At 33.5% G+C, this 15,595-nt stretch overlaps 1 long non-coding RNA gene across 1 annotated transcript in view, besides 2 other annotated features; it reads right to left on the bottom strand.

Annotated features, from left to right (window-relative positions):
* LINC02147 (long intergenic non-protein coding RNA 2147) overlaps positions 1 to 15,595 on the bottom strand; it is a 535,702-nt gene that overhangs the window by 363,610 nt on the left and 156,497 nt on the right. The window lies entirely within an intron of this gene.
* Positions 13,394 to 13,573: an enhancer, noted in NCBI's record as "active region_22956". NCBI's record gives its function as "activates an Ori minimal core promoter by ATAC-STARR-seq in GM12878 lymphoblastoid cells {active_cell/tissue: GM12878}" and the evidence as "EXISTENCE:reporter gene assay evidence [ECO:0000049][PMID:35858748]".
* Positions 13,604 to 13,753: an enhancer, noted in NCBI's record as "active region_22955". NCBI's record gives its function as "activates an Ori minimal core promoter by ATAC-STARR-seq in GM12878 lymphoblastoid cells {active_cell/tissue: GM12878}" and the evidence as "EXISTENCE:reporter gene assay evidence [ECO:0000049][PMID:35858748]".

Raw genomic sequence — 15,595 nt, 5'->3', positions numbered from 1 at the left:
TTGTGGGGAGGAAGAACAAGAAGTTGTTGGTTTGGTGAGAAGACTGATTTTATTTCTAGTTTTCTATGTAAATGTCACAGAAACATAAGAAAAGTCTTCCAATTTTTATACCTTAATTCCTTCAACTGCAAAAATGAGAATAATAAACCTGCAATCCCCATATAATTCCTACTCCAAATAACTTTTATAAACTTTAAATCTTTGCATGACAATAACTTTAAAAAAAAATTACCACAGGCCCATATAATTTTACAAATGAGTTCTACTAAGTCTTCAAAAATCAAAGATCCACAACATAGAAAAAAAAATATGGACTAATATACTATTGTTAATAAATAAGATAGGAAAAATTTAAGCCAGTAAAACCATTGGCTGATTTTATTTATGAATTCAAAAGTCTTAAATGATATATTTTCAATATAATTTCAGAATATATAATACATTCATCAAGACTAAGAAGAATTTATTCCAAACATCCAAATATATTTTATTATTTTGAAACAAATATTAAGGTAATTCACCACATTAACAGATGAAAGAATAATGCAATACTACCATTCCAGTATTTACAGAAGGAAAAAAAAAAGATTGATAAATTTTAAAACCATTCATAACAATAAAAATGAATTCTAAGTAAACTAAGAATAAGAGAGCTTCAAATAAGTTCACAAAAAGATATTGACCCAAACCTACAGCAACTATGCTACTAAATAGTGAACACTGAAAGTGTTCATTTAAGAACAGAAAAAAGGATATCTGTCATGTCTATGTCTAAACAGTGAGCTATAATACCTAATTAACTGAATAAGTTAATAAAAACCAAGATTAAGAATACAATAAGATCACAAAACAAAGGTAGAAAAAATCCTGGCATTTTCAGAATGATATGCTTGTCTGCATGAATTATCCTGGAAATTCACAGATATGTTATTAGAATTACTTAGAGAGTTCAAAAGATGAATATATAAAAATCATCTTCATTTTCATGTATTGTCAGAACTAATTAGATAATTTTTAAGAAGGTACTACCTACACAAACAGTATAACTTATAATGTACCTAAGAATAATTTTAAAAAATTATAAAGCTTTATTGGAGAAGGTAAAAGATGTACAGAAAAGAAGACCTATGGTCCTGAGTAGACAATGCAATATCACAAAGTTTTTGATTTGTTCCTTAAACTACAAAATTAACCCAAAACTGAATCCAAAATAGGCTTTTAATGGAAATATTTTAAAAGTTTAATACTACCATATGAATGTATGGTCAAGACATACATTCATAATAGTATGATAATATAATATATTACTGTTATTCTTATTCTTTAGGGAAGGGATGGAGCTGAAACATTTGACAGTAAATTGTAGAAATCATGACCCTCCATCCCTAAAACCTTCTCTCATAACCACACCTCAAATTTTTAAAATGTAACATAGCTATATCACTGTCATGTAATATAGTTTATATTCCTATTTCACTAATTATCTTCCGAGTGTCCTTTATAGCAATGTTGCCCTCTGAACCAGGATCCAATGCAGAAGTTTACATTTAGTCATATTGTATGTTTTCTCTCCTTTGATATGTAGCATTTCCTCCCTTTTCTTTGTGTTTTATGACCTTGGTGTATTAAAAGAGTACAGACACAATGTTTTGTAGTATTTCTCTCAATTTGGGTTTTTCCTGTTGTTTCTTTATAATTATGCTTTTGAGTTTTTGGCAGAAATATTACGTATGTGATATAGTATCTTTCCCAGAGTATGATATCAGGAGGCACTTAACGGCAGTTTGTTCCATGCATGGTTATATTAATCTTGATCACTTAGTTAAGGCTGTTTCTTCTAAATTTTATTGCTATAAAAGTACCTTTTAATCATTTCATAATTAGTGAGTAATCTATGGGAAAATAATTTGAACTTATGTAAATCTCTTATTTGCCAACCAACTTTAACCCCTAGGTTTTATATCCATCAATATTTATCCATGTCAATTTTTAATATGATTTTTGCAAAATCATGGTTTTATAACTATCATTTCTTCTAACTTTATTATACTTTTGTCATTTGTTTTTTGGTATTAGTGTAGATTATTTTCTCAATATATTATAATGCATTGTAGCCATTCTCTTTTTTTACAGTTGCAAAATTAGATTTTTAGATACTTAGATTTATTTTTTCTTATTTTTTTTTAATAGAGCAGTCTTGGAGTCACAGCAAAACAGAGTGGAAAGTACAGAGATTTCCTGTAAACTTCCTGCCTCCATGTATTCATAGCCTTCCCATTATCAACATCCCTCCACCACCAAATACATTTGTTAGAATTGAAGAACCCGCACTGATATATCATTATCACCCAGAGTCCGTAGTTTTACATTATGGTTCACTCTTGGTGTTGTATGTTATATGGATTTCAAAAAATTTGTAATGACATGTATCTACCATTACAGTGTCATAAAGAGTAATTTCACTGCCCTTAAAATCACTGCTCAGAAGTAGAGAAAACTATTTTAAAATTCATATGGAACAAAAAAAAGAGCCCAAATAGCCAAGACAATCCTAAGCAAAAAGAACAAAGTTGGAGGCATCACACTCCCTGACTTCAAACTATACTACAAGGCTACAATAACCAAAACTGCATGGTACTGGTACAAGAACAGACACAGAGACCAATGGAACAGAATAGAGTACTTAGAAACAAGACCACACATACAATCATCTGATCTTTGACAAACCTGACAAAAACAAGCAATGGGGAAAGGATTCTCTATTTAATAGGTGCTAGGAGAACTGACTAGCCATATGCAGAAAATTGAAACTGGATCCCTTCCCTGCACCATCTAAAAAAATTAACTCAGGATGGATTAAAGACTTAAATGTAATACCCAAAACTATGAAAAATATAGAAGAAAATCTAAATGATACCATGACAAAAACACCAAAAGCAATTACAACAAAAGCAAAAATTGACAAATGGGATCTAATTAAACTGAAGAGCAGCACAAAAAAAGAAACTATCATCAGAGTGAACAAGACAACCTGCAGAATGGGAGAAAATTTTTTCAAACTATCCATCTGACAAAGTCTAATATCCAGAGTCTACAGGTAGGAACTTAAACAAATTTACAAGAACAAAACTAACAACTCCATTAAAAAGTAGACAAAGGACATGAACCGACACTTCTTCAAAGAATACATACATGCTGTCAACAAACATATGAAAAAAAGCTCAACATCACTGATCACTAGAGAAATGCAAATCAAAACCACAGTGAGATACCATCTCATGCCAGTCAGAATGGCTACTATTAAAAAGTAAAAATACAACAGATGCTGGCAAGTTGCAGAGAAAAAAGAATTCTTCACACTGTTGATGGGAGTGTAAATTAGCTCAACCATTATGGAAGACCGTGGTGATTCCTCAAAGGCAGGAATACCATTTGACCCAGCAATCCCATTATTGGGTATATACCCAAAGGAATATAAATAATTCTATTATAAAGATACATGCATGCCTATGTTCATTGGAGCACTATTTACAATAGCAAAGACAGAGAATAAACCAAATGTCCAACAATAATTAACTGGATAAAGAAAATGTGGTACATATACACCATGAAATACTATGCAGCCATAAAAAGGAACAAGATCATGTCCTTTGCAAGGACATGGATGGAGCTGGAAGCCATCATTCTCAGCAAACTAACACAAGAACAGAAAACCAGATACCACATGTTCTCACTTATAAGTGGGAGCTGAACAATGAGAAGACATGGACACATTGAGGGGAACAACACAGACTGGGGCCTGTTGGGAGGCTTGAAGGAGGGAGAGCATCAGGAGGAATAGCTAATGGATGCTCGGCTTAATACCTAGGTGATGGGATTATCTGTGCAACAAACCACCATGGTACACATTTACCTATGTAACAAACCTACACATCCTGCACATGTATCACTGAACTGTTGAAGAAAACAAACAAAAATATTCTGTGCTCTGTTTATCTCACCCTCCCTCCTAAATGCTGGCAACCACTGATATTTTTAGTATCGCCTTTTCCAGAATGTCATATAGTTGACATCATAGGGTTTGTCACCTTTTCAGATTGGCCTTTTTCACTTAGTTATACGCATTTAAATTTCCTCCAGTACCTTTCATGGCTTGATTGCAAATATTTTCTTCTGGTATATGACTTGTTTTGCATTTTTCCTGACAGTGTCACAGAGGAGAAATTTATAATTTTAATGAAGATCAGTTTATTATTTTTTTCATGATCATACCTTTGTTGTCATATCTAAAAAGTCATTACCAAATTAAGGTCATCTAGATTTTCTATGTTATCTTCCAGGACTTCTACAGTTTGCATTTTACATTTAGGTCCATGATCCATTTTGAGTTAATTTTTGGGAAAGGTGTAAGACCTGTGTCTAGATTAATTTTTTTGCATGTGTATGTATAGTTATTCTAGCAGCATTAGTTGAAAAATATATTTTAACTCTGTTGTAATTGCCTTTATTACTTTGTCAGTGATTGGTTGACTTTAATTATGTGGCTCTATTTCTGGAATATCCATCATGCTCCATTGATCCATTTGTCTATTCTTTTGCCAATACCACACTGTCTTGATAACTATGACTTTAATAGTAAGTCTTGAAATCAATACAGCCAGACATTCAACTTTGTTCTTCCTTTATATTGTGTTGGCTATTTTGGGTCTTTTACCCACCTTATAAACTTTATAATCAGTCTGTTGATATGTACAAAGTAACTTTCTGGGATTTTCTCGGAATTGCATTGAATTCGTAGACCAAGTTGGAAAGAACTGACATCTTAACAACATGAAATCTTTCCATCTATGAACAGGAAATATTTCTCAATTTATTAGTTATTTGATTTAGTCGCAGTTTTGTAGTTTTCCTCAAATAGTTATTATACATAATTTGATATATTTATACCTAAGTATTTCATTTTGGGGGCTGATAAGTATAAATGGCATTGTGTTCTTATATTTCAAATTCCACTTGTTTATTGCTAGTAAATAGGAAAGTGTTTGACTTTTGTATGTTAACCTTGTATCCTGTAATCTATAATCTTCCTATAATCATTTATTAGTTCCAGGAGTTTTTTGTCAATTCTTTCAGATTTTATACATAGACAGTCATGCTATCTGTGAACAAGCAGTATTACTTCTTTTCCAATTAGTACATCTGTTATTTCCTTTTTCTTATTGCATTAGAATTCCAGTATGATGTTCAAAAGCAGTAATGAGAGGAGGTAACCTTCTCTTTTTCCTATTAGTGAGAAAGTTTTGAGTTTGTCACCATTAAGTATAATGTCAGCTGTACGATATTTGTAGATACTCTTGATCTAGTTGAGAATATTCCCCTCTATTCTTAGTTTCTGTTTTCATTACGAATAGGTGTTCAATTTTTTTTTTTCAAATTTTTTTCTGTATGCATTTATATGATTGTGTGTTTTTTCTTTAGCTTGTTGGTATTGTGGATTACATTAATTGATTTTTTGAATTTGAGCTAGCCTTGAATGCATACTTGGGACAAATTCCACTTAGCTGTTGTGTATAATTCTTTTTCTACATTGTTGGATTCAATTTGCTAATATTTTGTTGAGGATTTCTGCATCTATGTTCATGAGAAATATTGGCCTGTAAGTTTTATTTTGCTGTAATGACTTCGTCTGCTTTTATCTTAGGGTAATGCTGGTCTCATAGAATAAGTTAGGAAGTATTATGCCTGCTTCTCTCTTCTGAAAGAGATTGTAGAGTACTGGTATACTTTTTTTCTCACTTTTTGCTGGAATTAACCAGTGAACCCATTGGGCATGTTTCTTTCTGTTTTGAAAGGGCATTTATTATTGATTCAAGTTTTTTAATAGATATAGGCCTGTATAGAGTGTCTATTTCTTCTTGTGTGAATTTTGGCATATTGTTTCTTTCAGGGAATTGGTTCATTTCATCTAAATTATGAAATTTGTGGGCATAGAGATGTTTATAGTGTTCCTTTATTATCCTTTCAATGTACATGTGATCATGTAAGTTATGTCTTCTCTTTCATTTCTGATATAGTCATTTGTGTCATCTCTCTTTTCTATGTTAGCTAGCTTAGCTGGAGGCTAATCAATTTTGTTAATCTTTTCAAAGAAGTTTTTTGTTTCATAGTTATTCATTTTTGATGCTTAAAGTTTTACAGATTTGGTTAATGGAAGTCTCATTAAACTGGCTCCTGTGCTCTTTTTTCTTTTTCTTTCTTGAGTAATTTCTGGAAAAATAAGACATTCCTGGCCCATTTCAAACTTTCCCTGAACCATTCCTAGAATCAGTCACTTTTCCTAGGCACTTTGGTTACTTTGAATAAGGAATTTTATTTGGAAACCAAGATCTAGGAGATAGATGTTCTCATTATTTTAGGGTGTTATTGCTTCTAGGCTTGAAAACGCCTTCTATATCTAAGGTTAAAAAAACTGATATCAATTTTTAAATTATTTTTTAAAACAGCAAATTAAAATTAAAAACTAGCACCACACACTTATCAAGGAGATAAATAAAATGGAAATTTTTTATATGATGGTGCAAGGGTAAGCCACTGTGAAATCAAATATAATTTTTTTAGGTAGTCACCCTAAAGATGTTCTTCCGTAAGTGCAAAAAGAAGCATCTAGAAATGTTCACATTGCATGATTGATTTTAGCCCAAATATGGAGTGTGATAAACTCTGGCTTAGTCATCATAGTCATAAAATGAAACCCTTTTTAGCAGTTAAAATTTGTGAAGTGGAAATCCACTTTTAATACATAATTCATACATAAAATGTTGAAAAGAAAAAGTTATAAAAAAAGACACCTACAATAGGATATTATGATTTATCTAAAACATACAGCAGTGCTATTTATGGTTCATATGTATATTTGTATGTATTTCCTTTGTAAAAACATGAATTAAACTAATAAGGGCAAACTCCAGGTTAATGGTTGCTCTGAGAGGAAAAAAAAAAAAAGATTGGGTGGGGCTTCAGTATCTCTGAAGTTTTATTTTGTAAAATTAAAAACCAAAATATACATTTTATAGATTTTTAAAATATTTCATAATTTATACAAGTTTAAGTAATTACATACATTATATGGGATTTTTGTCTAGCAGTGTAGACATTTAGCAGAGCTATTTACATATATTATATGGGATTTTTGTCTAGCAGCACAGACATTTAGCAGAACTCTTGAGAAAAACATAGATTGGATAATCAGAGAAGTGGAAATTCAGAAACTGAGCACTGTTCCTCCTGACTGTTTTGACCTAAGTATGTCCTTTTTGCAGGACAATGTAAACTCCTTCACCTCTCCCCCACGTCCCCCACTGCCACCCCCCTATTTTGCAGTGAGGTAGAAAAATTTGGAAGTAGAGTCTGTCTGTGAGAAGGAATTAAATCTGTAATGTGTTTTAAAATCATTTTAAGGTACAATGGAAATAATTTCACATTACCATGAAATGTATATGTAGTATTAAATCCTGAGCTAGGAAAAATCTAGAAAATATAATATTGTAAGGAGGAGGATCATTTCAACTAAATCTCCTGTTAGAAGATATTACAGGCAGCAGAACGAAGAACCAATTGTCTGAGGGAAAATTAATATTTCAGAAAATGAATCAAATGTGGCAGATCTAAAGTAGAGGCTATGAAACTACTATTGTTAGAAAAAACACAGAAGGCGGAAGAAAGTACCCTGTGAAAAATAGGCCAGTTACTTTCATAGGCCATCATTATGAAATAAGAAAAAGGCAAAAGAATATTTCTCTTCCAGACAAAAAAAAATAATGACAAAGAAAATGGTGATTTCTCTTAGTGTGTGGGTGGACTGGCACAGTAAAAAGCCAGCAAAATTAAGAATGGTGCAGGGCTTGGAGGGGCAAGTGTATAAAATAATATAAAGAACAATAATTAAACCACAGATTAGCCATAGATTCTAACCCCATTTCTAATTATTTATTTGCCTTTAGTAAGACACTTGACTTCTCTGAGTCCCAGCTTTCTCATCTGTAAATAAGGAAGATGCACTCAATTATCTCTTGAGTATGTTCCTACCTAAGTATTTTGTGATCCTATTAAATACAAATCATTTACTCAATAGATACCATAGCTATCAAGTGCCTGCAAGGTGCAAGGTATTTTTCTAGGTGCTTTATATATACTATCCCATATCATTCTCAGGAGTAAACTGTTACAAACTTCTCATAGAAGGCTCAAAAGCTTATCAATGTTTTCTAACTTGTTCAAGGCCACTGAGCTAATTGGTGGTAGAGCTGGTATTTGAGGCTGGGTCTCAATTCCAATGTCCATGCTCTTTCATTATTCCATCTATGCTAAAGATATTGACTAAATGAAATATTTGAGAGTATGCAAATGAGATGGTGGCTAGCATAGACCAAGAATGCAAAAAGTGTTCTACTGAAATATTTTTCCATTTCCAGAATCATTTGGAAAGACAATATTTATTTTAAAAATGCAAAAAGCCCTGTGAGAACTTGGTTCTTATTTATTATAAGATTTAGTGTGAATTTACAATCTTATTTATCATAAGATTATAAGATTTAGTGTGAATTATATTAATCAGAGCTACAGTTAACTGAGTTATCACCATTTCTTTGAAATTTTGATTAGTTAGAGGAGGAAGAAAATAAAACATAAGGGGAAGTATGTAAACTTATATAGAATGGAAGAATTCAAATAACCTAAAAGCAGCAAAAAAGCACTTGAAAGCTTATGAGACAGGAGAGAAGAAACTTTAGGTGAAAGAAGTGCTCAAATAGGAGGAATAACAACCAAAAAATTGTACTTCTTTGAATTCTTAAAATTCCAGTATAAGCTAATGCCCACAAACACCGAATTAACACATTAAGGTCCTTTAGACAGTTGCAAAACAATTTTCCCCAGTTCAGCTTATTATTCTCTTTCTTGCACTTATCCATTCTTTAATTAAATAAATACTTCAAATATTTTCAGACTAATCTTATCTCCGTGACTAATTCTCATTTTTGTATTGAGTGAGGCTGAGGAATTGGAGGATTGGGAAAGAGAAGAGAAAAAGAAAAAGATGACGAAAGAGCAGACACATTAAATAAGATGAAATAAACAGCTACTAACTCACTCCCTTCCTTTCCTTTAGAATATTGATCCAATGAGATTTGCCGAATTTATCAACGTGTAGGATTTTAGAATCAACCCTCCTCATCAGCCACCCAATGTCTGCTGTAACCTCTTTGGCAATATTTAGTAAATAATGACAAAGAAAGAAATGGCCTTATTCATTTGTTCTTGCTTCTTTTACTTACTAGTTAACTTACTTTTTTACTTTCCTATTTTTCTTTTTCTTGAAATAAAGGACAAATGATTCAGGTTAAATTATAGAAACGATAAACAGAATCAATAATATTGTTCCTTAAATTTCAGTTCCTATGAAATACTTACCTTACAAGCGTACACAGAAAAATGGGTCTCTATTTTTTAAAAACAAATTTACAATGACTTCAGGATTTTCTTTTATTCAAGCAGAAAAGAACTTGGTCTCATCTATCTTAATATTTTAAGTGTAAAGTGATTTGGGTCTAAGTGTATAAAAAAGCATTTATTCAAAGCCTGATTTAGAACACACTCAGAAAGACTCTAATAGCTACGTTTAAATTATCAGAGGCCTTGGTGAGTCCGTTGTTTTCTGTTTCTGGATCATTTACATTTGTCTATTTGTTGGATGGTTTTCATACTGGGTTCAAGTCCTAATATCACACTTCTAAATTACATCTCAATCCATGCTTCATATAAATGGCCTGGTGGAAAGATGCAATAAAAGAGCACTTTGTAATACTGAGTCCACTCATGCCATTATAGAAAGCACAATGTCAGCACTTTCATTTCCATTATACACTCTATTTGTTCAGAAATTATATAGAGAGCCATAAAAATTTGCTTGGTTGCAAGGTATTAGCTCATCCTACGAATAAACAATTAGATAAAAAACCATAACGTGGCTAAGACAATTGATTAAGAGTAAAATTTGGTCCAACTGTGTATGTGACATGGGTTCATTGCCACTTCGCAGGGATTCTTTCTGCCATAACAAGAAAGAAGCTATTAGACAAGCATTCCCAGGTGAGGAGAAAAATACCTAGGTATAGACACAGATGTCTGAGGCTATTTGTTTGTTTCTTTGTCTTAGTTGGAAAACAAACAAAAAAAAATTAGAATGGGTATAAAAATTACACTTTGATGATATTTTGGTGTCATCACTGTCACCGACGTGATCAGGGGAATTCTTAACAAAATATCAGGAAAATTGCCCTGACACAGACTCCCAGACTTATAAAAAGGTCTATCTTATAGATCAAGGAGTAAAATTTCGTAATTCTACGGGACAGGCATCAGTCACAGGGTTTTTTGTTTGTTTATTTGTTTGGTTTTTTAATCGATACGGCTTTACTTTGTATTTAGGACAATATTAAGTAAGAATCTAGGTACTTCTAGCCACACTGATTTCTCAACCACTGAAGGTATCTTAGTCCAAGATACTTTAACAAAATACCATAGATTTGGTGGTTTATGACAGACATTTATTTTTCATTGTTCTGGAAGCTGGAAGTCTGAGATCAGAAGTAACGGCCCTCCTCAGGGTTTCTAGAAGCCGTCTTTTCACTATATCCTTACATGGCAGAGAGAGCAGTCTGTCTCTCATCCTCTTCTTACAAAGACACTAATCCCATCATGTGGCCCCACCCTCACTCACATCTAATCTAAACCTAATTACTTCACAAAGGCTCCACCTACAATTATCATCACCTTGGAAGTTAGAGTAACATGAATTTTGAGAGGGCACAAACATTCAGTCCATAACAGAGAATAAGGTTTTCTCTTGAGGTTGATCTCTTTTAAAAGACCAAGGAAGGATTCCAGAAGCCCATTGTTTTGTGACCAATTACTTCTGATAGGATCTGGTTTGTGTTTCTCTCTCTGTAAGTCATCATCTTACAACCAGGATGTTTGACAATGATGACACCTATTGAACTGTTTTATTTTCCATTTGAATCATAGAAGGGTAATCCTTTATTCTCCTCATAAAAAAGATATTATAAAGTATCAAGTATACTGAAAAAATCTCATGACATTATATAAACATTCCATGGTTTGTTATATTCTTGAAGCCACACTGTCAGGATTTTAGTTCCCATTCTGCAACTTACTACTTAAGTGACTATGGGCAAGCTTCTTAACCTCTCCATGCCTCAGCTTCCTCATCTCTGAAATGGGGATAAAAATAGCATCTAACTCATAGGTTGTTGTGAGTGTTATGTTAACTGAGAAATGGTAATCATCAGTTGGTACCTAGAAAAATGCCTGACACATACTAACAACTAAATAATTACTAGTTTGGGAATGAAATGGCCTAAGTCTTACTGGACTGTACTCTCCTAGTGAGAGTTCTCCATATTCACATATTCACAGATGAAGAAACCTTCACATTGGTAATAGAAAAGAAATCTCCTAGTTCATGTTCCCAGATTATCCAAGTGTCTATGACACAAATGAAAAGTAAAATATAAAGAGGAAAAGGCAATTGGCTCTTCCCTCTTCTTTGGAGTCACAGTTGTTAAACTTCAGTGGATAATATAAAAACAGACTATTTGCATCCTTTCAGAATTGCATCAGCTCGTTCCCACGTGTTAAATAGTCAGATCAGACATGAAAATATTTACCTTAGGTATTAGTCAATAATGTTCAATTTTTTTCCTTTTAGAAAGTTGAACAAATGCAACAAATGCACACACATTAGTGTGACATTTAGAACTTTTATTCTGGTAAAATATTTCATAAAATAGATTCTCACACAGTTATAATTCACAATAATTTACTGGCCGGGTGCAATGGCTCACACCTGTAATCCCAGCACTTTGGGAGGCTGAGGTGGACAGATCACAAGGTCAGGAGATCGAGACCATCCTGGCTAGCACGGTGAAACCCCGTCTCTACTAAAAATACAAAAAAATTATCTGGGCATGGTGGCGGGTTCCTGTAGTCCCAGCTACTCAGGAGGCTGAGGCAGGAGAATTGCTTGAACGTGGGTGGCAGAGGTTACAGTGAACCGAGATCATGCCACTGCACTCCAGCCTGGGCAACAGAGCAAGACTCCGTCTCAATAATAATAATAATAATAATAATAATTTATCTAGCATTTACCATTACAAAAAAAGTTAAAAAAATAAAGACGAAGTTATTTTAATCAAGTCCAGATGCATTTATAGATTGATTTTGGCAAAATAGATTCTATTCAAAAGCAAACTAATATTTCCTTTGATTTATCTGAAATAAGGGTCATTCCACTTTCTTATAGACAATTATGAATTTTAGTAGAAATGATAATCCAAAAGCAATATTGGTTTGACTTATATAAAAATAAAACTATAAAGCTGCTTAAATTTTCCCTTCAAACTGAAGAAACAAGCAAGATCTACTGCTCCAAATTGCCACTATTTGAAGTATCAAGAAAATGATCATACTGCATATCAGGTTCTTTTGGAGAAGTCTGTTAACACTTAAACTCAGTCATCAAATGGTTTCCCCATCACATGAGAATGTAAGCTACAAAGTAGATTTAATCTGTAAAAGGAAATGACTAATGTACAAATGTTTCTCTGGTGCTCAAGATGTGTGCTTTTTTCTGTTACTGGGTAAACTGCAATAATTGGTCTACTTCCAACAGAGTGCAGAAGAGGTGAACCAATAAATTTGTATTGACAGAGGATGGAAAATGTCAGTTATCCTAGGGAAGAGAGAATGCAAAGTCCTAGGCAGAAAGAAGATGCCACAGACAGACATACACCATAGCAGATGTTTGGGAATAAAGGGAGAAGTAGAATCAAGACACAGGATACCACTGACTACTTCAGGTCCAGTCCACTGGAGAAGCTCAATTGATTAACATCCTCTATCACCAACACCCTTCCCTTAGGCCTTCATCCCTCTTGACTGCACAGTGAGGTTGCCAGTCTCCCAGCACCCTACCTGTGTCAACCTCCGTTTTGCATATTCTGTGACATATATAAACAGTGAGGCTATTGTGATTGACATAAGCCAATCATATTTTAAATGGATATGAGCAAGGAAAAAAAAAAAACAAGTGAACACTAGTGCTTTGGGAGCAATTCCTTCTAAAATGTTCATGAAAATATCCAAATCAAGGAGAAACATGCACAAGAGAAATGAGATCCACGTCATAAACAATGAGAAATTTTAGCTAAATCTAGAGAACATGAGATGAGATTAGAGAAAAAACCAAATGTGTTTCCTTTGCCTAAGAACAGTCTGCATAAGAAATAACCAAAGGAGATACTGGTGGAAGCTTGTCCAATCTTTAATAAACAGGGTAAGTTTAGAGGTGAAGCCAGCTGTGGGGCAGTCAGGGGACCTGCTTCAAACTCACTGATGCTTATAGGATGGGTTCAGTTTGCTGAAGCCACACTGAGCTGCAAGCCTCTTGCTCTGAAGATAAAAGGGAACCTGAAGAGATTGGCTTTTGACAAGAGCAGCTGTGTCAGGTCCAAAACAGAGCTTCTGATGGTTTGGGAAAACATGAAACAGGAACTCTTCCTTGCAGAGGCAAACTTTCCGATTCTAGCTTTCATTTTCTCTTTACACTCAGGCTGCCATATCTCTGAATTTACATAGTGAATGTTTCCAATTCAGATGAAAGTTGAAAAGAAAATAATAGATTTACCGTAATTTCAGATAGATATCCTCACCAATCCCAGAGGAACCTTATTTCTATTCCAATTTATCCATCCTTATCAGTGAGATTAATACTTTCCAGTAAATAGGGAAAAAAATCACATATCTTTAAAAAGATAATATGTTCCAAGAAATCAGACCAAATACATCCTCTGAAATAGAGTACTGCAAAGAATAAAAAAGACATTTTCAAATGTTTAATTTGTATTTTAACAAGATTTTGAGATATTGCATCTATGAAACCAGAATAGCCCTGTGCAAAAAGGGAAAGAGGTGAGGAAAATCACTCTTTCAAAAGTCTCTTTTGTTCAGCTGCTTTGTTGGAGGCACTGAGCTGAGCTCTGAAGACACTGTTGTAAATGATGAAAACACACTTCCTGCCTTTAACAATGTCTGCATTTAAATGGTAAGCTATTCCCCTAGTCAAAATTAATTAGAATTAATTGCAAGTGGTTGTAGCATTCTGGAGGTGAACTGTACCACCTCTATAACAGATGCACAGATGACAGTAGGCTGTCAACAGAATTTTTGGAATCATGGAAGACTTCCCTGAGCAAGTGACATTTAAGACAAGAAGGAAAATATGACTTGGAATTAGCCAGGCCAAGACTTGGGGAAAGCATGAAGCAAAGAGAGGAAAAGTCAAATGGGAAGCATTACAAGTAAGAAAAATTAATGGTATGTTCAAAGAAGAAAGAGTCCAGGAGGTCAGGAGAAGAGAGTGAGGAGGAAAGACATGATTAGGCTGGAGAGGGAAGCAAGGGCTAGCTCATCCAGGGACCAGGAAGAATGCTGAGGATTTTGAAATTTATCCTAGGAACATGTAAAATAGACTAATGGAACAGAATAGAGGACCTAGAAATTCACACATGTACAGCCAATTCATTTTGACAAAGTTGTCAAGAATACACACTGGAAAAAGGATGGTCTCTTAATAAATGGTGCTGGGGAAACTGGATATTCATATGCAGAAGAATGAAATTAGCTTCTCATAATTCACCATATACATAAATCAACTCAAAATAGATTAAAGACTTAAATGTAAGACCTGAAACTATGAAACTGGAGAAATGTTACAGAGCATTAATCTGCGCAAAGATTTCATGGGTAAGACCTCAAAATCTCAGGCAACAGAAACAAAAATAGACAAATGGGATTTACATCTGGCTAAAAAGTGTCTGCATAGCAAAAACAAACAAATGAAAAAACAACAGTGTGAAGAATAAAGCCTGTTGAATGGGAGAAAATATTTGCAAACTATCCATTCAACAAGGAATAAATAAGAACATATAACGAATTCAACTCAGTATAAAAAAATCTGATTTAAAAATGGGAAAATACCTGAAAAGGCATTTTTCAAAAAAAAACAACATACAAATTGCTAAAAGGTATATGAAAAAATGCTCCACATCACTAACAATCAGAGAAGTACAAATCAAAACCACAATAAGGTAGGATCTCATCCCAGTTAGAATAACTGTTATCAGAAGCACAATAACAAATGCTGGTCAGGATGTGAAGAAATGGGAATGCACATATACTGTGGGTGAGCATGTAAAGCAGTACAACCATTATGGAAACCAGTATGGAGGTTCCTGAAAAAACTAGAAACACAACTACCATATGATCCAATCTGGCAATCTTACTGCTAAATGTGTGCGTGTGTGTGTGAGTGTGTGTGTGTGTGTGTGTGTGTGTGTGTATGTAAGTATAGATATATATGTATATGTATATGTAAGTGTGTATATATATGTGTAAAATATATACACCTAGCAGATATATATATAATATATATATACACATATATATAACACCAGCATGT

The sequence above is a fragment of the Homo sapiens genome, chromosome 5 (genome assembly GCF_000001405.40).
Source record: "Homo sapiens chromosome 5, GRCh38.p14 Primary Assembly".
Lineage (NCBI taxonomy): Eukaryota > Metazoa > Chordata > Mammalia > Primates > Hominidae > Homo > Homo sapiens.
The sequence above is the reverse complement of the archived record's forward strand: the minus strand, read 5'-3'. Positions and strand labels throughout refer to the sequence as shown.